The following is a 24438-nucleotide window of genomic DNA, read 5'->3' as shown; positions in this document are numbered from 1 at the left end:
TGTTTCCTGTGGTCCCAGCTATACAGGATGGCTTGACACTGGGAGGCAGAGGTTGCAGTGAGTCGAGATTGCACAACTGCACTCCAGCCTGGATGACTGAGTGAGACCCTGTCTCAAAAAAAAAAAAAAAAAGAGTCTTTGTTTTCCCCCAAAACATTAACCCAAAGTTTATAATGATTTCTACTTCAGTGTTTAAATTTCTACTTCCAGTATTCAGTTTCCTATATTATACAGAAATTGGAGCGTATTATAAAGTTAAGATCTGCACAATTTTCGGGCTATGCTGCTATGAATATAACATGGTTAACTTATATTTACCTGAAACATTATAGTTTACATACGGCTTTTATTTCTTCAATCTTTTTTGATCCTCCTATTAATTTCCTAACAGCAGGCAAGTAAGGCAAGTTATTATTATCTCTGTTTGTAGAAATAAGGACACAGAGGCAGGGCTGGGATAACTGCTTTGCTCTGAGTCCCAGAGTTCAGAATGGCAACTCGGGGCTGGCACCGGGGACTTCTGGTACTCTAGACACACAAGGCTGGCAGTCCTTGATACCTATTTCTTCACCTCCACTTACTAGAGTTTTGATCTCCAGGAAACAATTAATCTAGTGCCTAATTTGAGATTGCAATTCACAGCATCACAGCACCTTGCAACATAAGCCTAAGTATTAGTCCCTTGGCACCAGCGTTCCAGGAGGTGAATGATTTACCCCAACTTCCTGATGTATAGTATTGCTGGACAGAAACCTCCCTTGTAAGTCAGCATTAGAACAAGAATGGGAATCCTCTGTAAGTCTTCCCTTTGTCCCTTACCCATTTCTCTTCATAGCACTAAAAGAGGTTCAAAGTGATTTATTAATGTTAGGTGTTCATTTACACTTTCAGAACTATCAGTTACAGACCAACTAGTGTCAGGCATTTGCTAGGCACTAATGATGCAGAGATGAAAGAAAGCCCCTATTCTCAAGAAGCATAGGAGTCAAGGCCTCACAGATAACATGATTCACATACCTGTTGAATTATGATTAGTCTCCATAACAGAAAAGGCTGAAAGAAGGCAAACAGAGCTAGCAAAGAGAAACCAGAAGCCTTAATAACACATGAAAAGAGTAAAGAGCCTCCAGACAAATTGCGTGCTGAGACACTGGAGGATGAATCACTAAGAAATTGGAAAATGACTTCTAGCTGCTTCTTAAAGAAATGAGAATCTGTAAGAGCATCATAAGGAATAAGGAGTTTCATATGGGTTTGATTCTTCATACATGTGTATATATTTGGAACACAGATCTAGTAAAATGTATAAGTTAAAAGTAAAATTCATTAATTTTATTTTTGAGACAGGGTCTCACTCTGTCACCCAAGTTGGAGTGCAGTGGCAAAAGTAAAATTCTTTTAAGCAATTTTTTTTATCTACACAGGGAAATTATAATAAAATAACTCTAAAAATAGGAATAAAATATGCATCACTTTGGTTTTAATAAAGACTGATAAAATTTCAGTTGGCTTTATATTGTTTTCTTAATCTTACAAGAAAACTGTGTTTATCTTGAAGTTTCACAGCTGCAGTCCTCCTTAAAACTTACAAACTTCAAAATTTTGATCTTTTCTTGGATTTGGGAAAGCTCTGGGGCCAGGCATGGTGGCTTATACCTTTAATCCCAACACTTTGGGAGGCCTAGGCAGGAGGACTGGTTGAGCTCAGGAGTTTGAGACCAACCTAGGCAACATACCAAGACCTGTGTCTACAAGAAATTTAAAAACTAGCTGGGTGTAATGGTGCACACCTGTGGTCCCAGCTACTTGGGAGGCTGAGGTGACATGAAGTCTTGAGCCTAGGAGTTTGAGGCTAAAGTCAGCCATGATCACACCACTGCACTCCAGCTTGGATGCCAGAGTGAGACCCCATTCCAAAAAAAAAAAAAAAAGAGAGAAGAAAAATGGAGTTTTTTTGTTTGTTTTACAGTTTTTATTTCCATTTAGATAGCCAACTTTTTTTTTTTTTTTTTTTTTTTTTTGAGACGGAGTCTCGCTCTGTCGCCCAGGCTGGAGTGCAGTGGCGGGATCTCGGCTCACTGCAAGCTCCGCCTCCCGGGTTCACGCCATTCTCCTGCCTCAGCCTCCCAAGTAGCTGGGACTACAGGCGCCCGCCACTACGCCCGGCTAATTTTTTGTATTTTTAGTAGAGACGGGGTTTCACCGTTTTAGCCGGGATGGTCTCGATCTCCTGACCTCGTGATCCGCCCGCCTCGGCCTCCCAAAGTGCTGGGATTACAGGCGTGAGCCACCGCGCCCGGCCAGATAGCCAACTTTTTATCATAGAATGATACCCTGTATTTAGAATCTCTGTCTGTGGAACCCTTAGCAGACATAACTGAGGCCCAATGAGTGCCTCACACCTTTCAATTCCAATATGAGATAATGTACTTTCCTGCCCTTCAGAAGCTTATAGAGTAGAAACATTCATGGCAACAACCATTCATTCATTCAGTATGCATTGAGAATCTATAGTGGACCGGCAACGTTGGGTGCTGGAGATGCAAGGGCAAACATTTGAAAGAAGGAAAACCCAAATGGCTCAGTTAATGAGCATCTACCATGACGAAGCACCATTCTGAACACCCAGCCTTAAAACTTACTTCTATGTTACTCCAGAAATCCTGAAGTCTTTTTATTCATGCTATTTAAATTTTACTTTTTTACAGTTCTATAAAAATATTTTATGCAACATATGCAGATAAGAATCAAAGCTGAGGAAGTGAAGAGAATTCTAATCAGCTCACTACTAGTCCAGTTTGTCAAATTCTTTTGATTTATATCAAACACCTTCAAAGGCAGATTGCCAGCTATTAATTTTGAGTTCAGTCTTTTCCTTTAGTGTAGAGAATTCAGCCTTATACAGTCTATGGAGAATCTTTTTTGCTTTGGAGCTCCAAGGAAATTGTTGAGAACAAAATGCATCAAGAAAATCGAGAGGTTGGTGATTCATCCCTTGTGTCTTTGGAATTTCTGGCTGCATGTAAGGCTCATCCCTCCTTCCATTTCTCCTTTCTCTGCACCCACCAATTCTTCCTAGTGTTCACCCCAGCAGAACCTCCAAAGATACTCTTCAAAGCCTTTAACCATTATCTTGACTTACTGTCTACTTGGGGGCAGCAACCTACATCAACTGCTTGTATAAATTTCTCACAGTTAATGCCCCAGGTTAATTAAATATTTCCTGAGTATCTACTGTGTTCCAGACATGCATTAGGTCCCAAGGGTGCAAAGATGATTAAACCACAGTCCTTGCCTTCAAGTTGCTTATATTATAGTAGGGAGAGAAACATATACAGCCATGTGTTGCTTGATGATGGGGATGTGTTCCAAGAAATGTGTTATTAGGCAATTTTGCCATTGTGTGAACATCCTAGAGTGTACATACACAAACCTAGATGGTATAGCCTGCTACACACATGGCTATGTGGTATGGCCTATTGCTCCTAGGCTATAAACCTATACAGTATGTTATTGTACTGAATATCCTAGCAATTGTAAGCAATGATAAGCATTTGCACATCTCAACAGGTGTAAACATAGAAAAGGTGCAGTGAAAATACAGAATTGTAATCTTGTGGGACCACCATCGGATATATGGTCCCTTGTTGACCAAAACATTGTTTTGTGGTACTTGACTGTATGCATGTAACTATAATAGTGTAATAAGTGCTGTGATGACCTAGAGGAAACAGGTTAGATCTCATTAATAGGGTCAGAAAGCTCTTCCAAGAGAAAAGGATTTATAAATTTGGATGTAAAAAAGGGCCAGGAGGACATTCCCTCCCAGTGTGAGCTAAGGCACAAAGACATTAAACTATATGGCATAGTTAGGGAATAGTTGCTTGTTCAATAAAAATGCAGGATAGAATTCTAAGAAAGAGTTGGAAAGATGGTGGTAGCCCCGTTGGTTGTGGTCAAATTGCACAGGGTCGTGGAAGTATGTTTGTGCTGTAGATTGTAGGTATTATGAAGTGAAAGGGGATTTTTCACAGTGCCATGAAAGATCGCAGTTGAGTTTTGGAAACAGTGGCATGGCGGTGGAAAAAATTGCTACACATGAAAGGCCAAGGGCCAGGAAGGCTCTATGAGGCCATTGTAGTCATCCTGGAATGAAATTGTCAAGACAGAACCGAAAGAGCTGGGGGAGACCTCAAAGGGAAATGAAACCAGAAATTTAACTGGATGTGAGGCTAGAAGAAGAGAGAGGGATCAGAGATAGGAAGCAGGTTTGTTGGATGAGGAGAGGTAAGGAATGAGTTTCGTTTTAGACATGTGGAGTGTGAGGCGATTTGGAAATGTCTGTAAGCAATTGGAAATAAATAACTGTTCTAAGTCAGGAGATCTGCGCTAACAATATATATTTGGGAGACCCTGGTATATTGTAGTGATTTGAATAATAGAAACATAAGGTACCTCCCCGCTGCCTCAACAAGAGATTTGTAAAGATGAAAATGGAACCATGCATGGGGGAGGGAAGTCTGCATTTCTTTTTTTTTTTTTTTTTTTTTTTTGAGACGGAGTCTCGCTCTGTCACCCAGGCTGGAGTGCGGTGGGCGCAATCTCCGCTCACTGCTAGCTCCGCCTCCTGGGTTCATGCCATTCTCCCGCCTCAGCCTTCGAGTAGCTGGGACTACAGGTGCCCGCCACCACGCCTGGCTAATTTTTTGTATTTTTTTTTTTTAGTAGAGACGGGGTTTCACTATGTTATCCAGGGTGGTCTCGATCTTCTGACCTCGTGATCTACCTGCCTCGGCCTCCCAAAGTGCTGGGATTTCAGGCGTGAGCCACTGTGCCTGGCCAGAAGTCTGCATTTCTAAGAGCAATCAGCAGAAGCAGGGAAGAACAGTAAGAGTACAGGGACAGAAGTCAAAGGGGCAGAAAGTTTTGAGATGAAGGACGGGGCAGAAATGCTTGATGTTGAGATGTCAGGTAGCATGAGAACTGAATGGGGATCGTAGGATTCAGCAGTGAGGACACCACTGTGGCCTATGAAGGAATGGGCAATACCAGATGGCAGGGGGACCTGGTCTGGGAGTGTGATTTTTGGTGGTCACCGTGGGTCCTTTCCCAGGCTGGCTCCAGGCTTTACTCTAGCGGGAGCTGTCCTGCAGCGATTGGTTGGTAGGGATCAACCCCAGGACCCTCATCCACCCTGACCCTTGGTGCTTGTGGTCCCCAATTCCCCTATCATGACCATAGCCTGTTCTTGGATCCCAGCTGATAGGGATCAGATCCAAAAATTTCCTAATTTTACATCACAGGACTCTAGTTGGTCTTTTTTTATTGTTTAATTAAATTTTTTTTCTTGTACCCCAAATCATCACCAACTCTTTTCTCTCCACCCTGTCCACACTCAGTGGGTCACCATTCTCCCTATGGTGATGCCATTGCTGGCTGGTGTCCTCCCACTTTATCTTACATCTGCCCTGGGCACCAATGTCCAACCTGCTGCCATCACCTGTTGTGTGCCAAATAAAGTCTGAACTTGTTCTCAAGTGAAGGACATCTTCCTTTCCACTCATGTCCCCCATTTCTTCTCTGGACCCATGCTCCATCCTAGAAACAAATTTAAATTGTCCCCAGCTTGGGCTTTTCCACCTCATCCCTTTATTCCTCTCACTTGGCCTAGCTAGAATGTCTTCCTCTGTCTCTTCAGCTGTCTAAAGCCCACTCACCCAATTTGGCCCTGCAGACCTCTGCCACTTTCCCGGATCACCTCGCTGTCCAGGGTCTTCCCCAGCCCTGCAGTACTGCAGCAGCTGATTCACAGATGACACGTTGCACCACCTTGCTCAGTTGTAAAGTCTGAGAGCAGGGGTTCTTTGTGCATTCTACAGTGACTGTGAGTTCATGGTAACTACTGGGTAAATGTTGACCACATGAATGAATTGAGAAACACTAGGAGCTGTTGCCTAAATTTCCTGAGGTTTGGAGCCTTTGTAAGTATTTATTTAAAAAATTAATTCACAGAGCTGTGTCCCTGTCTCCCTCTCCTCTGTTCCTGGGGCCCCTCCTTCCCATTATTCTCAGTAGATGGTTTCTTTGAATTGGACCCATTGTCTCAGTTCAAGAAGAGGAAACAGACATGGAGAAAATCAGAGCTCCACCTCACCTATGAGGTGAGCACCCAAGAAGCTAAAATTAGGGAAAAAGTACGTCTTCTTCCCTCTGTTAGGTAGTTGTCTCTTTTCTCTTGGTCTCAACTGATTCCCTATGCACCCCCCACCCCCTGCATTTTTTTTCCTTCTCAATAATGTGGCAAGCAAGGAACAAAAGCTGAGAAAGAGATTTTAGGGAATGAACAGCCTACACCATGATTAGGGAGTAAAGGAGAGTCTAAGGCAGGAAGCCAGATCTCCCTGGCAGCGTGCCTGAATCGCCACCCCCAAACCCAAGGACACACACATATATGCAAACACATTCTCTCCCCAAATCTTGACAAGTGCAGCACCAGAAATAAATGAGCCTCCTTAAGTGCTAAAAGAAGACAGGGAAACAGTAAGGTGGATTTCACGTCCAAAAAGTTGCACATCTTTTAATTAGATAGTCTCGCTTGGAGATTTCTCTAACTTCAGAACCAATTTGAGACACTTACTAACATTCAGCTTTCACTTGGTGTCTGAGACTTTTAGGAACGCGACTGCAAAAAGAAGTGTTAACCTACATATGCGTGGAAAGTCATTTAAAAGGGCAATGAATTTGTAAATTAAGCCAAGTATTTCCAAATTCTAGATTTTTTAAAGTAACTTTGATGTTTAATCATAAGCATCTTGGGGACAGGGAGCAATAAGAATCTAGCATGTACTAAGTGTACACTACGTGTGCTGATAGGTTGATATCTAGGGCCCTGGACTCGTGGCTCCAGTTAGTGAAGAAGAGTTGGTTCACCTGTCTGAAATGATGAAGGAAAAGGTGGATCTGCACACTTCCTGAGGAGTATTATTCAACAATGCGCTGTGACCGGTATATGCTGTTGGATCCCTGACAGGCTTAGGTGACAGCTGAGTCGAAATAAAGGAGGGTCATGTACCGTCGGGAGGGATAGAAGTCAGCTCTGCAGTGAGATTTCTTCCACAGCTCTTTGGTGGCCAGTGATGTTAATTGGTCATCATGGTATCAGTGAATGATCCATTTTGAAGTTGAGCACTTCTCATTCAAGGGTAACAAGCACAGCAAAGGATGACATTTCCTATTTTTTAAAATAAGAAAATGTACCTATACAGATAAAAGCAAAGGAGACCAGAACTGGGTAAAGGCAGCGGTTCTAATGAGTTCTTTACTAATTCAGAGTTTAGTGGATTCAGATTGAAATAATTAATTGTTCAGCCCTGCTTGGCTGTTTAACAACAACCGTGTTAGTTTAATTGTTCCCATTCAAGATAAAGAATTGTGTAATAAGGGCCTCTGAAAAAATAATGCCATTTTAAGTTGAATTTTAATAAGTTCTATTAAATAAGTCACAAAGCCTTGTTATGGCACTTAGAAACTTCTGGCATTACAGAGTAAAAACCAAGTGTACTCAGTACATGTGTCAAACTTATTTATGAAAGAAAATTATTTATCCCAGCAGTGATTCAACAAGAAGGTGTGTAATGCTTTCTGGATGTCAAGAACCATTTTAAGAAGTTGCTAATGCTCTTCTGTATGGCCAAGAGGAAGAGTCTGAACAGAGCTCTGACCCTAAGAGTACATGCTGTTCCCAATGTTCAGACAAGTTGTGTTCCAAAAGCATTTGATTGTAAATGACTTGTCTGGCACTTGAGTTTCATTTTTCTAGAGATGGCGATGCAAATAGAAGCACTGAGCCCAGTGGTTTTATTAGGTTGGTGCAAAAGTAATTGCAGTTTTTGCTTTACTTTTAATGGCAAAAACCACAATTACCATTGCAATAACCTTGCCTAAAGGAGGCAGATCCGAGTGTCCCGGTGGTAGAGAGAGAAGCCTAGGCATCCTCAGCCCTGCAGATGCTAGGAGGGTTCTGGACATGCCCTGAGGTGCCAGGACCAGCCACTCATGGGAAAAGTGCAAAGTTTTTTGAGTAAGACCTAAATGAAATCCAGCTTTAACTCTGCCATCTTCCAGCTGTTTGTCTTTGGACAAGTTACCTGACTAAACATGTTTCTTCATCTAAAACAGAAAACATTGCACCAACTTACATGGCAGAACTGATGTTACCTAAGGTGCTTCCGTTCAAAGTGTCCAAACTCTCTGTCCTTGCAAACATGCTCCCTTTTGGCCTTAATCTTCTACAGCCAATCAATTACCAGGTTCTATAGTTTTTACCTCTTACATTTCTCTGGAACGTTTCCGTTTACCTCCACCCCATGACACTACCCTAGATCAGCCACGTCAGCATCTCTACCATAGGACCCTTAAATGTGCCCCACTCTCTCCTACCTTGACATTCTCCTTGCACCCAGTATTGTTTCCCTCTAATCCATTCTTGACAGGGCAAGAGCTGGAGAGCATTTTCAAATGCAAGCCTGATCCTGTGGCGCCTGCTTAAAATCTTTGTTTTTGTTTTTGTTTTTCTTCTCATTGCCCTTTGGATAAAAACCAAACTCCCTAACATGAATTTTAAAGCACTACTCACTATGCGGCCCCTGCCTCCATCTCATTCCTGACATTCCTCCGCCTCCAACCCCACATACTTGCTTTACTTAGTTATTTAAGTCTCTTCAGTGTACCACACTGGCCTCCTTTCTCGTATCCAGCCCTGAAACAGGAGATCCCTGGGCTGAGGACACTTTTCCTTCATTGTGCCCCCCTTGCTTCACCAGGCTAACTTCTGTATCCACTGCCCTCTGTGAAGGGCGTAGGCCAACTCTCACTGTTGGTTATTAGGATTCCAATTGCAACACCCAATACTTCTGTTAATGGCTGTTGTGATACCTCGGTTCTTGTCTTCTTAGTTTAAAAGAATTTAAACAAAAGACACACAGCAAAGGAGATGCGGCAGAGAGTCATTCACTGCAAAAGGAAAAGAGTATTTTGAAAGTTAGATGCAGAATAGACAGTATACCCTGAGAGAGAGAGTTCAGGGTGGGCTGCTTGCAAGGGTGAGGCAGTGTTGATTATTGCTAGAGAAACCCCCTTTGTGGGAGTCTTACATGATAATTCATAAGGAGTTGGGAAGAGGTGTTGCTAGTAAGCATGTTCTGGGTGGTCCTCTGGGTGCACATGCACTGTAGCTGTATGTTTGTGTTCATATATCACATGTCTCATTAGCATCTTAAATCTCCACCCAGGGGTGTGTTTTTTACTATAAATGAGCAAAGGGTCAGTTTGATGACAATTAAAATCAAAATGCACATGCCCTAGAGAAGGGACAGTCCCTCCTGAAGATAGCTTTGCTTAAATGAGCTCATTTATGATGTGAATGCCAAGGCTTATTGTGTTGGCTGTGAGGTCACCACCAATGCTGCATCCCGAGAACATGGTCACTTCCTTGACTAACTATCCTGCCTCACTTCCCCTCTCAAAATACTTTATTGTAATTCTAGCTTAGTTCTCTGGTTTACCTGTAGGTTAAAGGGCTGGCACAGTAAGGCAAGGTAGTAGTAAGACTGCAGGTTTTGAACTGCCTAGGTTAGATTTTAGGCTCTGCTCCATATTTGCTTGTGAAATGACTCATCATCTGTAAGCCTCAATTTCCTCACCTGTAAAATGGGTGGAAATGATGCTGCCAATCTTATAGAGTTATTCTGTGAGTTAAATGATGTAATATATATACATACTGATGCACACAGATGCATATATGTTCATATATAAAAGGTCTAAGTGCATTGACTGGTGCATAAAAATGCCTTCAATAAAAATAAATGTCTTTCAAAAAATGCCTTAAAAATACACATACAATGGATACTTACTAAATACTTACAGGCTTTTATTGTTTTGTTTTGCTTTTTAAAGCAAGGTATTCCTGAGACTGTTTTCTTGTGAGCCCTTTGTCTCTTTTTCTTCATTTTCCATTAGCTGGATAAGATCAGAGTCTCAAAGTGAAAAGTGTTAACACTGTGTTTGCTTCCCTATTTGCTCATTTTTTCCCTCCAATCTATGTAGCCTTTACGTATGACATAAAGATGTGCAGTAGAATGCGGGTGGGTAAAGAAAATATTATATTCACAAAATGTGTTCTCCAGCCAACCAGTAAGGCATCCCTTTCTTACTAGTTATAGGCTCTGCTTCTGCCCTTGTCTTTAATCCTTTTCTATTTCTGAGCCCCTTCCTTAGAGGCTACTGGCTGAGGAAGTCTAATGTGATGAGGTCCGAGCGTGAAGTTCACTCAGCAAAGACAGGATGGTGGCATGCAAGCAAATTAAAGCATTCTCAGCTTTCCAGTTCACTCTCTCTGCAAACAAACAAACAAAAATTCATAGCTTTTTAGGTTTCTATTTTTAGGAGTTGCCAAATACATTTCAAAAGCAAAACTACAAATTAATGCAGCATGGGGTATGTGACATTTTTTAAGGTCTTTGGAGGAGATGACAAAACAAGGAGCTTCCCACTTTCCAGGGTTGTAAGTTTTTGGGAAAACATCAAGTGCGAAAAATCAATAAACATCCTACCTTGCCACTGAATTGTGTGAGGGTTTCCTGATTACCTGGTAGTCACCAGGCTTTAGAAGAGTTATTGTCATTTCGATTTTCAGATGAGTCACTGGATCTCTTGCCCCCAGGGCCACTTCATTATGATTCAGTGCAAAGTACTGACAGCACTGGGGCTTCCGGAAGGGAGTGGTGTCGGGATGGGGGTTGCTGTTGGCAAGAGGCTTAATTGACACCTTTGATGTAGCCTAAGACAGAACCTGCACCTCCCACTGCTGCTTGGGAGACGTCAGCTTTACGCAGAAAAGGCATCTGCTGATGAATCCTGCATCTCATTCAGCCTGCTCTGGGAGCAGCCTTAGCCATCCTTAAACTCATCCAACCGATTCCCATTTCCGCGGGTGCTTGGCTTAGTGCTGAGACGGGATTCCGCCGTTGGTATTCAGGTCCAACACTAAGACTGTGTCCATGTTAGAACTCATAGAAGGTAAGTGAAATGCATTGCTGCTCTCCCTTGTGGAAAGCATTTATTTTGCACCCTCAAGAATCTATGTGTCTCCTGGTTAATTCTACTTCACTGACTGTGGGGCTGTAATGCCATTTTTACAGGTAAAATAGAGGTGACCTGATACATCTTTATAAAACCATGTCTTTAAGTGTTTCATCTGTTGTTAGAGATGATGTTACTTAGAGAAAAGAATGGCTTACTTGAGTTCTGTGGCTTTAGTTCAGTTTAGTGAAAATGTGCATAAAACTCTTGAGAACTGGGTAGAATTCCAGTGATTTGAACTTGTTAGCAGTTTTTCTTTTCAAAGGCAGCAAAGAGAAACTGTGAGGAGTTTCTCAGCGTCTGTGGCCAATGACTGTCCTGTTCAAGGCAGGTCCATCACAATCAGCCTAGGGGGATGGACAAGACACAGGTGGATGCAGGACATTTTTCTAGAAGTGAGTTATTAATTATACAAATACAGTGATCTATTTATCAGGTCACTGGAATGTCACTGGTGATCTGTGCTTATATTTATTCCTGCTGGGTAGTACTAGGTAGCTAAACTGAAGAGTTAAGGATTAATCTCATTGAAAATGTCTCAGGACCATACATTCCTAAAGTCCCTGCTGGCACAGTTAAAGACATCATTAATACATTCATCAGGAAAGTTGTGAAAGGTACATCTTAAAAAATAATTCTGTAACCTGCTGCTCTATGAAACACAGGATTTACAAAACTGTGACTCTCTGAAGGTTACTTCCCCAAAGCTGTTCCTCAGTGTACATATGGAAGGGTGTCTAGAGTTCTAGTAGATGGCTCTCTATATAATTGTTTATTTCTTGCAGAAGATGATTTGTCATGAAAATTATTTAACGTGCCATTTTTCTCTGTGTGTGATTCTTTGTATTTCTAGTTAATGGAACCCCTGGTAGTCAGCTCTCTACTCCGCGCTCAGGCAAGTCGCCAAGCCCATCACCCACCAGCCCAGGAAGCCTGCGGAAGCAGAGGGTAAGGAAATAAGCAAGCTGCTTGTTTCAGACCTGTCTCAGCCTTGGTGCAGACAGGTACAGGTGCCAGCAAATCGTGCTGCTCGTCTCTAGGCGATATCTAAGCTAGAACAGGAGGTGACCAATGAGGGGTTGCTTATTGCTTTGGTTTAGCTAGAACTCAGGGCTTTTAGCTTCTCTGTAACCTTGTCCAAATCTTAACTCTGAGAAGAATGCACCTTTGCTACTTCACTTTTACATACTCTCCTCTTTCTGTTCTGAATGCACAGGCTTTATTAGCACTAGTTTGTAAGCCTTCTTAGTTGTGATGAGTTTGATTAGATATCACCATTAAGGGAAAGAAGAAGTGCTGTGAATGGAGGGGAGGGCCCTGGTGGAAAATTGCTTATGGTATGGATGGGGCCCCAGAGCAGCAGAGGGTCCATGAGGTAGGGGATGGGAACCTATGACACGTGCTTTTGTGGATGAAACCCACATTGAGCACCTTTTCATCACTACTTGCATTTATGGAGAATTTGGCTGAGCTTGGAGACCACAGTGAAAAAGTTACTGGAAACTGTTAGCTTCTCCACCCTAAGGAAGAGGGTGAGGGTTAGTGCTTCTTTCAGGATGGAGAGACTACTGTTCTTATCCTGTCACAACCTGTACTGTTTGTCTTTTCCAGTAATACCAAGGCAAAAATAAAAGTAGTGGGAAGGGGGCAAAGGGGGAGGTACAATGCCAAAAACGGAAGGCCCTTTATGGTCCTGATTTCAGACGCAAGGTGGGGGGAATGTACGCTCCTAGGAGGTTTCATGATGGTGCTCACTGAACACTTTAATAAGCGAGAACTCCTTGCAGTCTACTGCACTCAAACACAAGATTCTTGAGTTTAGTTTCTTTTATTATGTGTTTTAAAACAAAACTTCTGAGTTCCACAAAATTACGTGTCATCCAGGATGGAAGGCCCTCTCTTCAAGATTTCTGCACAGGTTGTGTCTTTAGGCTGCCAGACGTCTAAGAGTGCGGGGCGGGGAGATTCAGTTGGTTCCCATCTCCTTTGGAGCCTGTTGCACCAAATATCAAGTTTGGTTATCTTTCTTCACTGATTCACCTGGCATCAGGTGGAACTTGTTTTGAGCGTTTGATGAAGCCTGGGATTTGACGCCAGCTTGTCCACTAAATGGCCGTGGTATCTTAGATAAGCCTATTATCTTTTCTGGGTCTCCATTGGAAACACAAAACAAAACAAGGAGCCTCTTTCCAGATAGAAAGCCCAATAATTCCATTCTACCTCCATTTGAGTGTTTTCACTATGGTTTCTTCTTGGCCACAGTCTAATTTGGAATTTTAAGGTGTTGGAATCATTTGTGAACAACTCCAAGAATTGGCCAAATTTATTTACTCTCCTAAAGGCCTGTCCTTGAGTGAAGGAAGAGCTGGTCGGTCATTCTTTTCTTGTGAACATCACCCAGTGAGGCGTCAATCTATAGGGACCGCCATTGGATACAGAGCAGGAAGGGCCCTCTTTCTGAGAACATTCTGTCTCTTAGAGTGTATGCTTTGGAGAGTACACCTAGCATAGAAATCTGTCTTTATTCTTTGAGCTAATTAAACTCAGATTAAAGATTTATTGGTGTCGTTTATGCTTAGTTGTTGACATTAAGAGTGATTGGGAATTCCCGCTGCAAATGGGAGCTCCTCTCCTTGCTTATTTATTGAGGAGACCTCCAGCTTAGGGATGTAAAGCTGTGCTCAGATGTCCCTTTCTTGGCAGAATGGGGCTAGAATTCGCTTCTTCTGCTTTCTGTATTTCCACTTCAGTATGATTTTGTCCAACTGAGGCAGAAAATTTCCATTCAGCTCTGTGGCTATTGGCTTATATAATTAACATTTCCAGCACTTGGGGAATGATTATAAGATATGGCTTTCTTATAGATTCTTCATTTTACCATTTAAACGATCAGTGCAAACACCATACTTGAGAGAAAAAAACAATCCCATTTGTTTTAGGAGGACAAAGGGTTTATACCATCTGAAAACATTTATTGAGCACATGTTGTGAGGCAGGGCACTGGGTATATTCTAAGATGGTTCCATTTCCAAGCTTTTGAATTTAGGCCATAAATGAACCTCCCCATCCATGTGCTGTGTCAGTGCATGAAGGCATTCCCAGATGCTTTAGCCAGAGGAGCTTTCATCTTGGCATATAGGCAACTGCATCAAATAATCCCTCCCAGTTAAAATGGGCCTAGAAGATCCCTAAAAACTGATCCTGTTTCAAATTTGGTTAATGGTCTTCTCAAATGATTGGCTATACTCCTATGCAGGAAATACTGAAATAAGTGAAAGATGGCATGTGCTAAAAGAAGACACTTCAAAGAATAAATTAACTCTTTTTACTGCAGATTGGAAAACAGTAGCTACTTCTATTTTTTCCTTCTGTGTTGCCTAGCAACATGGCCAAGAAAATGAGTTGACTGCCCCCACCCCAACACACACACACACACACACACACACACACATACACACACATGCACACACGCGCGCCTTGCCCCCATTTTAAAATACAGGAACATGAGCTGTTTTCTCAAAAGGAAGGTTGAGACATTTGACTGGTTTCTTTACAAATAGGAAAATCTAGTTTTTACTTATATTAATTACAAAATTTGATCAGCTTTCTTTCTTCTGTTAAAATCACATTTTTATGTTACCTCTTTTGACATTTTGGAATACTCTTATACAATGAAAACCTGCATGCCAGACATTTCTCTTCATAAGCATATTCGTGGCAATGTACCAAGTAACCTATTTTTCCGAAGCAGAGTTATTTAAGTTGCTGTCTACAGGCATTTGACTGGTCACAGAAGCAGAGCCTGGAGACTCTTTTCCCACTCATGAACTTTTTTTGGTCCCATTTCTTAATCCATCAGGAAGAAATGTGTTGTGTTATGTAGGCTGAATGAAGCTCCCCATTATACTCCCACATCACTGACTTTTGTAGATTATCTGATCAGTCAGATGATGTGAGGAGTGGGTGGTACAAAACCGGAGAAAAGCCAACTCTAGACGCTCTCTGCAGATCTGAGCTGGTTGCCTGGCTACCAACCGAGATCTAGTAGCAGGAAGGGGAGGTAGGAAAGGAGAGAGGAGGTGATGAGTGAGTGGTCGGTTGGAGAACAGGGAAAGAACATTGGGAAGGGATTTGGGGTGAGGTGGGTTAATTTTACACGCTTTCTGTCATCCAAACATAATATTTTGAGAAAGCAATGCTTTCTTGGGTTTTATGCCACATGCAACTACAACATTTGAGTTGCTGCTCTGGGACCAGAATTTGCTGAACGCCATTTGGGCCTCCTGATAAATTATTTTATTGTGAGGTAAGCACGTTCCTTTTCTACCAAGAATGGGAAGGAAATGGTCAAGGAAGAATTGCCTAGTCACATAGTAGTGGAGTTGACCTTTACAGACCTCAGGGGCCATGCAACTCAACGGGCATCAAGGAAGGCAAAAGATTATGAGTAGACCAAGAGGCATTTTCTTGCCAATAAGGCGAAACCAGCACCATTTTGTTTATTTAGATGGTTTCTCTATTATTATCTTTCCTCCTAATCCAAGTTGGTGACTTGAAAAGGTCTAATAATAGTAGAAACTGGGGATGCCCATTCAGTGCTGCTCTCACGAGAGCCACAGGGCACCCAAGAAAGCCGAGTAAACAAATCTATACTGCCCTTCATCTTGCAGGACCTGTACCGCCCCCTCTCTTCGGATGACTTGGATTCAGTAGGAGACTCAGTGTAAAAGAAACAATGGAGCAATGTATATGGTTTGTGATTGGGTGAAGGTTTCACATTTCTGAAGCAAAAGTCTTACAGCAAAATACACAAAAGAGTTTTGCATACCTTGAAATGATAAAAGACCAAATCATCCAAAAGTAAATATGTATGCATTTTGTTTTCGTGATGTTCAACCTTGAAATTGAGAGATTTTTAAAAATATCTCCCACATGGATTTGATTGGGGAGAGTTTGAACACAAAATGCTGAGATTTTTGTACAGGGCCTGGCTCTAGATGAATTTCATACACGGACCCAATATTGAGTACAAGAACACACTAACCATGTGGCAATATAGAGCCAGAATTTCTGCAGATGGAGTTTTCTTCTTAATTATAAGTAGACATAGAGATATAATTTTTCTGTACTTTCTGTAAAGCATATTAAAACGGCACTAGCAGGCATATTTTTTCTAAAGGTTATATTGTTTTTAAAATTTGAATTGCTTGGTTTTTAGAGGTACTTTTATTACAAAATAATAAAAATACTTGGGTAGATTTTTTTTCTCCCTAGACAGTAGAAAAAGCTACTTACTGTTTTGTGGGTTAGTACATCCGAGAGAAAAAGAAAAATTATGACAACGACACATCTCATAAAGACTCTGAAGTTAGGCTTTAGGAACTTGCCTTGTTTTTGTTGTCAAGTAAATTTTATTTTTTAAAGTTATTTTATTAGAAACAGTATAAATTTAGCTTAAGCTATATGCCAATATGAAGAACTTGGCCAATGGCATTGCTATAGATTGTATAATTTTTTCTTACAATCATATACATAATTTTTTAAATGTGTAAAAACTAAAGCTGGGAATTTTTTTTTTTTCCATACAGACCTAAAAAAAATTGTGTCTGGACTTTTTCCAAGAAATCCATTTGAAAAGCAAAATTCACTTAAATGGTGCTGTATAAATCAGGCCCAGAGTATCCAAATCTCCACTCTGAAAAATTCTCAATCTTGCTGGTGTTTTGGAAATTTTCATATGCAAAACTCCTTTTGTGTTAAACCAATTAAGTCTATGATTATAACCCATTGTTAAACATTAACCTACTAATTCTGCTCTTCTAGTCCTCTATTTTAAAAATTATAGTCGTCTTTGCTTAAACATAAAATAATGATTTTAAAGTCTGAATGTTAAAAATTAATTTAATGTGTATGGTCTATTGTATTTAAGCCATATCCTAGTGGTCATTTACTTTTACTAGTTCAAACACTAACAGTTTAAGACTTGTGAAGCATGGTTTTGATATTCTCCAGGCTTGACATATCTCAGTAGGTGATAAATTAAAAATGTTTGATGCCATTTGGAGGCTTTTACATGATTTTTTTTTTCAAATTTTACTTGAAAACAATTTTTAAATGTTTTATTCAAGATGGAGAGAAATTCAGTTGTCACACGCTGTTTTAAATGTTATTGATTTATCTCCCTGATAAATTGTTCAACTAGCAAATTTTACCATCTGGTTTATAGTTACGTATGTTACCATCTCACTTTACAAGTGAATAAAATATTCCAACCAAAAGAAGAGGAAGAAGAAAAAACGTCCAGGCAATCTAACAGCATTTGAAAACTTAGCCCTATAATAATTAGTGCCTCATTATGCTGTCTGTTGGAGAGAAAGACACTTCTCTGGCAGGTTATTCAAGAGCTGCAAACTGAAACATTCCATCTTGAAAGAACAGTTCATAATAATACCTGTTCCAGACTTCAGGTTTTAAAACTGTTTCCAATAGAAATGACCAGAGACTCCTGCTGAGATCAAAAGGCTGCTTTATTTTAGCTGAAACAGTAAACATCTGTGAGGTTGCCTATGCTGGTGTCTGTTTTAGTTATGTCTTTGTAAAATGCATTACTTAATACAGTTGGGTCCATAAAAGATTAGTATGTATTTGACTAAACTGCCAAAAATACAAAGAAAGCAGTGGAACAGTTACTTTAAAACTGGTGGGGTCAGATGGTCCAGAACAAAAATAAATTCCAATAATTTTAACTTCCCTGCACTGTCAATCTTATGGACAACTACTGCTAGAAAGGTCCAATAAATGCTATTTGTTCTAAGTGGTAGATATTGCCAATTGATATAGAGCCCATGGCTTTGTTTAGACAGGGCAAAAAGAAACTGGACTTGTACTAATTGCCGATAGATATCATGGCCAACTTTCCATTCAAGCAGTTCCAAGGGAAGTGCTTTCCACAGCATTTAATCTCTTGAACATATGACTTCTATTAAAGGACTGTTCAGGGGCTATATATATCATTTACTTTTTGAAAGTAAAGTCCCTCAGAGATTGAAACAGCACACCATTTATAGTCTTTGAGATCTCTTTTTATGCAAAACATAATTCTATTAAACTAAAGCAGAAATAAAAATTTCTTAGCAACAAACACAGAAGTTTTCAGTTCATTGGTGGAACAGAATTGGTGATTTATAGGCACTTATGATTGAGTTACTTATAGAATTCTTTATAAAAAAAATTCGGCAATGAATTTTTAAATTGTTCTACTGAGCGGGGAATGCTTCAGCAAAAGCCACGCAGTTTTGTCCTAATGATAATCCTTAAATGCGCTCTGAAGACATCGTGCTGTAGTTCAAAGTTCGATACTTTTTCACTTGCACTCACTTTTTTCTTAGATGTAGACATTGTAGAAAAAGATATTAGGAATATTTCCCTGCTTTCAGCATTTTAGAAGTGCAAAAGTTAAAAATATATAAAGTATGAAGTTCAGTGTGAACTCAAAAGACTATAGTGCTGAAAGCCACATGGTGTGTTTTTGTCTTGTTTAATCAACTAGGCAGGGGGAAAAATCTAGACAGTTTCTGTACTGCCATAGAATTTTAAGAAGTGTCAGGTTCTCTCATCTGTATACATCCCTGTGCGCATATATTGGCTCATCTAAATATTAAGAACCCAAAAAACATTTTCTAAAACCATTTGAACCAGCGCTGATGTACTATATATATATATACCCTACATAACCAGCCGGGGAATTTCCAACACATGCCCTGAAGATCTATACATGATTGGGCTCTTTTTCTTTCTTTCTTTCTTTCTTTCTTTCTTTCTTTTTTTTGCTTAAAAACAATGAAGTGTGCAAGTCAGATTTCTTAATGAAAGTGAATGAATATATAGAATAATATTCCTGAAAATTCCACATATTTTAATTCTTGGACTGCTAAATTTTTCATATGTGGCCATATATCTATACAGGTGTTTGGGTGTTTATGTAAATTTGCCAGGCTTGGTGTGTATGTGGGTATGCTTCTGTAAGTATCTGTGTATGTGTATAAACCATCAACAGTAAAGTATAGTATTTGTGATACAGCCTTATAAGTTACTGGCTCTTGTGGAATTATACATAAAATCTTCATGTAATAAAGTGTTACTCTGTGACATATTAGTTGGGGCATGTTTAAATTAAAAAGCAGTTTGCTCAACTGGTATGGCAAATGGTTCAAAATATTCAGATATACTGATTTATAAAAAAATTGAAATTCAGCTAAATCCAATATTGTGTTAACTATTAAATATAAGTAACATTAATGTTTATATTGATATATCTTTGTTTTCAATTATTAACAAGATCGAATACTATGATTTTTTTCTATTGTGTGTGTATGGATGGCTTGTAGTGGTTGCCAATCACTATACTCTAAAAAAATGAAACATTGATACAGTTGCAGATTGTCAAGTATAATGTTGGAACATAAATAGAAGAAAATCCAGAGTATATTTGATATGAAGTAAGTTTAATAACAAAGCCAGATAACCTGTAAGGCGATTCTGTATGTTCTTTCAAAACTCTAAACTGTTGACAAATTTTGAATATACTTGCTGTATGTGTGTATATATCTACATAAATATATACACACTTGAAAATGTTAATCGAATGAATTTACTATATATGCATACATTTGCTCATTTATGCATATTTGCATTAACCTTGCTAGCATCTCTATTTGTGCATGTTAGTGACAACTGTCTTTGATTGAAATATTGCACAGAGGCATAGTGTGAAAAATAGAGATACACTGAATTCAATATACCAATTGCCTGATATAGCGTGTTGTACTGTCAGTTGAAAAATATTTGTAATTTTGTGCCTGTTATGCATGTGGAAAAAAGAGGAAATCAGAGGCCCTCACTATAATTTTTAAGGGTGCATGACATATGATGTCTTTAAAATGTGGTTCATTTTAGTAGATTATGGATAAATTCCAAGATAGTATAAATGATGCATGTAATACCTGAGTGTTTGTATTATATATGGCCACAAAATGTTTTTGAAGCCAGGGTAGTAGATATCTAAAAGTTATAGGCAAAGAAGTATGAAAGTTAACTTTCTGTGATGTGTTTTTGAGGAGTTGATACTCATCAGTAAGCAAGGAATTGAGTTTATTTTTTCTAAGAACTCTTTACTTTGAAATATATTATGAATGTTGTAAATTTGGATAACGTTTTTATAAAGAGGTTACATACTTTCTGCTCACAGTTTCAGTTGATTGGATGTGTATTCTCTTTAAAAAAAAACATTTTGTGTTAAAACATTTGACACAGCAATATATTTTTTAAATCCATCAACTAAGTCCATCAGCAGAGCTTTATAGAGCTAAGGGTTGACAAAATGTTTCATTGAACTACCCAATTTTGAAAGTTCAGTTACTTTGTGCTGTGGTTTCATTGTAAAATGTTGTACCTTGTGTTTCACACTGGACCATGTTATTCCTCTTGAAGTTAACTTTGTGACACTTACCACCTTAGAATAACTATATAATAAACAGGAAAAACTGCCTATGTTGTTCAGTGAGTTTCTTTCAGAAAATTTGATAAGTAGACACTGAAATTGAAATGACCACATGTGGGATAAGGGTGACCTTCACAATCACGTGTATGGCATTCTTCTGTTGTAATTAGCATCAATGAGTGATATTTGAGAGACTGCAGAATGGTACCACATAACGTCTAAAGTATAAAATGCTGACAGTAATAACAAAATAAGATTATTTGATGAAAAATTCTGTTTCAGGTAGTTGCGTTAAAATCAGGACTCTACCTTCCTTTCAGGGTTGCCTTAAAGGAGGAATTTGTCAGACATATCGATAACTCATTGAGGAGAAGAAATTAACATGCAGTTTTAAAACCACTAATGGTGTCCTAGGCTTGAAGGCATTTTTCCCAAGGTGATCTAATTTGCAGGGGAAAAAATGTGCATGTGTATGTGAGCATGTCTGTGTGTGTATTTATACAAGCTATTTCTTTTAAAATCACTGGATAAATATATAGTTTTAAAAATAAAGTTAATTAAAATAATGATAATAAAATACTTGACTCTAACTCAGAACAAAAATCATAATATATTTCATTTCCAAAAGGATAGAAAAGGATGTTAAAGAGGATAGGAAATTCTGCTGACCAAGCTAGAAAAAATATATACATATTTTTCTGAGACAGAGTCTTGCTCTGTTGCCGAGGCTGGAGTGCAGTGGTGCGATCTTGGCTCACTGCAACCTCCGCCTTCTGGGTTCAAGCGGTTCTTGTGCCCCAGCCTCCTGAGTAGCTAGAATTACAGGTGTGTACCACCTCATGCAGCTAATTTTTGTATTTTTAGTAGAGACAGGGTTTCGCCATGTTGGCCAGGCTGTTCTCGAACTCCTGACCTCAAGTGATCCACCCACCTCAGCCTCCCAAAGTGCTGGGATTATAGGTGTGAGCCACTGTACCCAGACGAAAAAATATTTTATATTGCAATTACCATTTAAGTTCCAAATTCTGGTTTTAAATCTAACATTTTTACTAGTTTTACTTTAATCTTCGAATTACATTAACTTTAATTGGTTCTCTTTATTATTTCCATGATAAATGTCCACAGCAATGATCACAGCAAAATATAATCCAAGTCCATAGCAATAATCATTGGAAGGAATGTTTCCAAATTTATAAAAATTTCAAATTGTAGTTGCAGTTTCTTAATATAACCAGAGTTTAACATAAAATGTAGCAGGTGCCTAGAAGACTAGTGAGCTCCCTTCATTACAGGTTGGGAATCCCATTTGAGGAGTAAATCATGGAGGGAATTATTCTATCCAGAGGAAATACAGTGGATGACTTCCTGGGCTGCTTCCAAACTACGATTTCATGAAGGGTGTAACTCATGAGAGGAGGCTTGTGACTACCCAATGACACAAGTCTCCTTGGGACAAATGGTTCAGATTATCAATTTATAGATCTTGGCTTGCATGAGTATAGTGATTGGACAATTGAGGCCAGAAAAACTACCCAATACAACAAACAGTACAGATCTAGTTGTAACTAAGTGCATTTGTCTTTGAAATCTTGGCTCTCGTGGTTTCACTAACATAGCCATAACACCACTGTTTCCATTCGCGTTTTCTCCTCCTTTCAGTAAACCAACTTCATGAGTAACAGTTTTCTAGTCTTTTGAAAAAATTATCCAAATCTTTATGATAACATTTTACATTTTTCAGTATTCATTCTTACTTATGCTCATGCTTATCTGTGCCATAAACTTTATTTAGGCTGAATGTACTACTATGAAGATTGCAGACAAAGGAATTTGGAAAAAGCAGTTCCTTTGTGCCTTGTTTCAAATAGTGGAGCCTTATTAGTAATTGCAGAGTGATGCCTTCAACTTATTGTTCTATACCCAGTTGGGAAATAAATAAATGTCTGGCTTTTCTGTATCATATAGAATTCTGTGGGTTTCAAGCTCTCTACACCAAGATTATTATTTAATTTTGTTAGAGATTATCTTTAGAGCTTCTGTGGATCTAAAGTCAAGATCACCAAGACAACTGTTTGAGTTTGTTAAAAATGTATTGCTTGTGTTTCCTTTATAAGATTGATTCAGAAATCATATGACAGTGATAACTTGATTTCTAAATTATTTTTAACCATTTTTCAAATCAATATCAACTCAGTAAGGTAATAATTGTATGCCAAGATAAAATGTGAAGTGGAAATGGTGCAATTATCCAGCCAAAGCTAAAGTTGTGTGGTGAGATTTTTCTACCTTGATTAGATCAATTCTCTTAATTGGATATTTTCAAAACCTTTATGCAGCATGGACCCCAGCTGAGTGACAACATTAATACAAATGGCAAGAGTAACTCACACCATTTAAAGTGAACTCTTTTCCACTACACAGTCATCAGATACATCTTGATAAAATGTGGTTAGGGTTGTTATGTCAGCTTTCTCACTTACTTCAAAAAGTGTGATATGTTCTCCATCTGTTATATGATCCCAAGCTCAATAGCTACACTTAGGATGTGTTCTTACTTAGGGCAGTGCTTTTATGAAGGTGTGCCATAAAAGCATCCAGGTGCCAGCAACCTGCCCAAATGGTTCCCATTAAATCTGCTTGGGGGTGATAACATTTCAAATGTCACAATATCTCTCAGAGCAGCTAATTGCCCTAAATTCTAAAATAACTGTACGTTTTGTACTGTACACCCAGATGCCTTGGAATTAGCGAATTGAAGCAAACATAAAATCTTGTTGGCATGTGGACTATAAAATGGTTTATCTGCTCAGAAAAACCAAAAAGGTAAATTGATTCCATTTACAAGCAATGAAAAAATATAGGTGGGCTTTTCAGCATCCGTTGGTTGTAAACAAAGGCTGGTTAATCTCATTAAGTTAATTCTAAAGAGCAAGCACTTACACATTTTGCCTTTACTATGTTCGAAATCCTTTCGTTGGACTTAAGGATAATAATAGAAATGTTCCAGCAGGGTCTAAGTTAGTCTATTTAGGTGGTTTAGTGAAGAATTGGTGGATTACCCAAAGAGCCATCCTGATTACTGAAATGGCTTCAACTGGTAGACAGAGCAAAAACATTAGGAGACCAGATCAGAATCTAAAAGATAACAGACTGGAAGGATATTAATGTAATAAAGATGACATTTAACGTGAGGAAGTGTGAAGTCCTGGACTTGGCCCAGGACAACCTTTCAAACACACACCAGGGAGACATGACATAGCTGTGGGCTCATTGTAAAGGTGAAATGCTATGGCCTCATCCACATAAGCCAGTAAGATCTTGAAGTGAATTAATATTCTATTCATGAGAAAGAAAACCCTATCCTTCTCTGCTTTGTGCTAGTCAGAGCACACCCAGAATATTGCATTCACTTTCAAGCACCAGGTTTTTTTTTTGTTTTTGGAGAGACAGGGTTTCACTATGTTGCCCAGGGTGGTCTTGAATTTGTGGGCTCAAGCAAGCCTCCTGCCTCAGCCTCCCAAAGTGCTTGGAAGACACAGACGGAGACCAGTAGCTATTTTCAAACACCTAAAAGCACTGTCATGTGAAAAGTGGATTAGACCTGTACTGGGCAACTCTAGAAATCAGAGATAGGACCAATAAATGGCAAACATGGAGGGACATAATTTCAACATAACTTACAGAAGAACTTCTTTTTTTTTTTTTTTTTTTTTTTTTTTGAGATGGAGTCTCACTCAGTCGCCCAGGCTGGAGTGCAGTGGCGCGATCTCGGCTCACTGCAAGCTCCGCCTCCTGGATTC

At 39.4% G+C, this 24438-nt stretch overlaps 1 protein-coding gene and 1 long non-coding RNA gene across 11 annotated transcripts in view, besides 6 other annotated features; one reads left to right on the top strand and one right to left on the bottom strand.

Moving 5' to 3' along the window:
- LOC105370163 (uncharacterized) overlaps positions 1 to 8521 on the bottom strand; it is a 45346-nt gene extending 36825 nt beyond the window's left edge. For both annotated transcript variants that reach the window (XR_941855.3, XR_001749821.2), the window contains exon 1: positions 8440 to 8521. This is a non-coding gene — a long non-coding RNA (uncharacterized LOC105370163). The remainder of the gene's footprint in view (positions 1 to 8439) is intronic.
- The window catches only part of DCLK1 (doublecortin like kinase 1), a 363288-nt gene that overhangs the window by 265354 nt on the left and 73496 nt on the right, over positions 1 to 24438 (top strand). For 4 of the 9 annotated variants that reach the window (NM_001330072.2, NM_001330071.2, NM_004734.5 and 1 more), the window contains exon 6: positions 11993 to 12087. In NM_001330072.2, coding sequence (NP_001317001.1) covers positions 11993 to 12087 — 95 coding nt within the window. Of the gene's footprint in view, positions 1 to 10918; positions 11077 to 11992; positions 12088 to 15809; positions 20687 to 24438 lie in introns of those variants that run through there. The other 5 variants (XM_047430767.1, NM_001438021.1, NM_001195416.2 and 2 more) reach the window with 3 other exon arrangements.
- Positions 7489 to 8028: an enhancer, noted in NCBI's record as "H3K27ac hESC enhancer chr13:36432695-36433234 (GRCh37/hg19 assembly coordinates)". NCBI's record gives its function as "activates a minimal SCP1, AML or CMV promoter by ChIP-STARR-seq in primed H9 embryonic stem cells {active_cell/tissue: H9 hESC(primed)}" and the evidence as "EXISTENCE:reporter gene assay evidence [ECO:0000049][PMID:30033119]".
- Positions 8571 to 9110: an enhancer, noted in NCBI's record as "NANOG-H3K27ac-H3K4me1 hESC enhancer chr13:36431613-36432152 (GRCh37/hg19 assembly coordinates)". NCBI's record gives its function as "activates a minimal SCP1, AML or CMV promoter by ChIP-STARR-seq in naive H9 embryonic stem cells {active_cell/tissue: H9 hESC(naive)}" and the evidence as "EXISTENCE:reporter gene assay evidence [ECO:0000049][PMID:30033119]".
- Positions 9845 to 10717: an enhancer, noted in NCBI's record as "OCT4-NANOG-H3K27ac hESC enhancer chr13:36430006-36430878 (GRCh37/hg19 assembly coordinates)". NCBI's record gives its function as "activates a minimal SCP1, AML or CMV promoter by ChIP-STARR-seq in naive and primed H9 embryonic stem cells {active_cell/tissue: H9 hESC(naive and primed)}" and the evidence as "EXISTENCE:reporter gene assay evidence [ECO:0000049][PMID:30033119]".
- Positions 9845 to 11591: a biological region, named in NCBI's record as "P300/CBP strongly-dependent group 1 enhancer GRCh37_chr13:36429462-36430661".
- Positions 10062 to 11261: an enhancer, noted in NCBI's record as "P300/CBP strongly-dependent group 1 enhancer chr13:36429462-36430661 (GRCh37/hg19 assembly coordinates)". NCBI's record gives its function as "activates an origin of replication core promoter dependent on BRD2, BRD4, P300/CBP, MED14 and CDK7 cofactors, with strong dependence on P300/CBP, by STARR-seq in HCT116 cells {active_cell/tissue: HCT116}" and the evidence as "EXISTENCE:reporter gene assay evidence [ECO:0000049][PMID:35650434]".
- Positions 10718 to 11591: an enhancer, noted in NCBI's record as "OCT4-NANOG-H3K27ac hESC enhancer chr13:36429132-36430005 (GRCh37/hg19 assembly coordinates)". NCBI's record gives its function as "activates a minimal SCP1, AML or CMV promoter by ChIP-STARR-seq in naive H9 embryonic stem cells {active_cell/tissue: H9 hESC(naive)}" and the evidence as "EXISTENCE:reporter gene assay evidence [ECO:0000049][PMID:30033119]".

The sequence above is a fragment of the Homo sapiens genome, chromosome 13, assembly GCF_000001405.40.
Source record: "Homo sapiens chromosome 13, GRCh38.p14 Primary Assembly".
Taxonomy (NCBI): Eukaryota; Metazoa; Chordata; class Mammalia; order Primates; family Hominidae; genus Homo; species Homo sapiens.
This window is presented reverse-complemented; position numbering and strand designations above follow the sequence as displayed.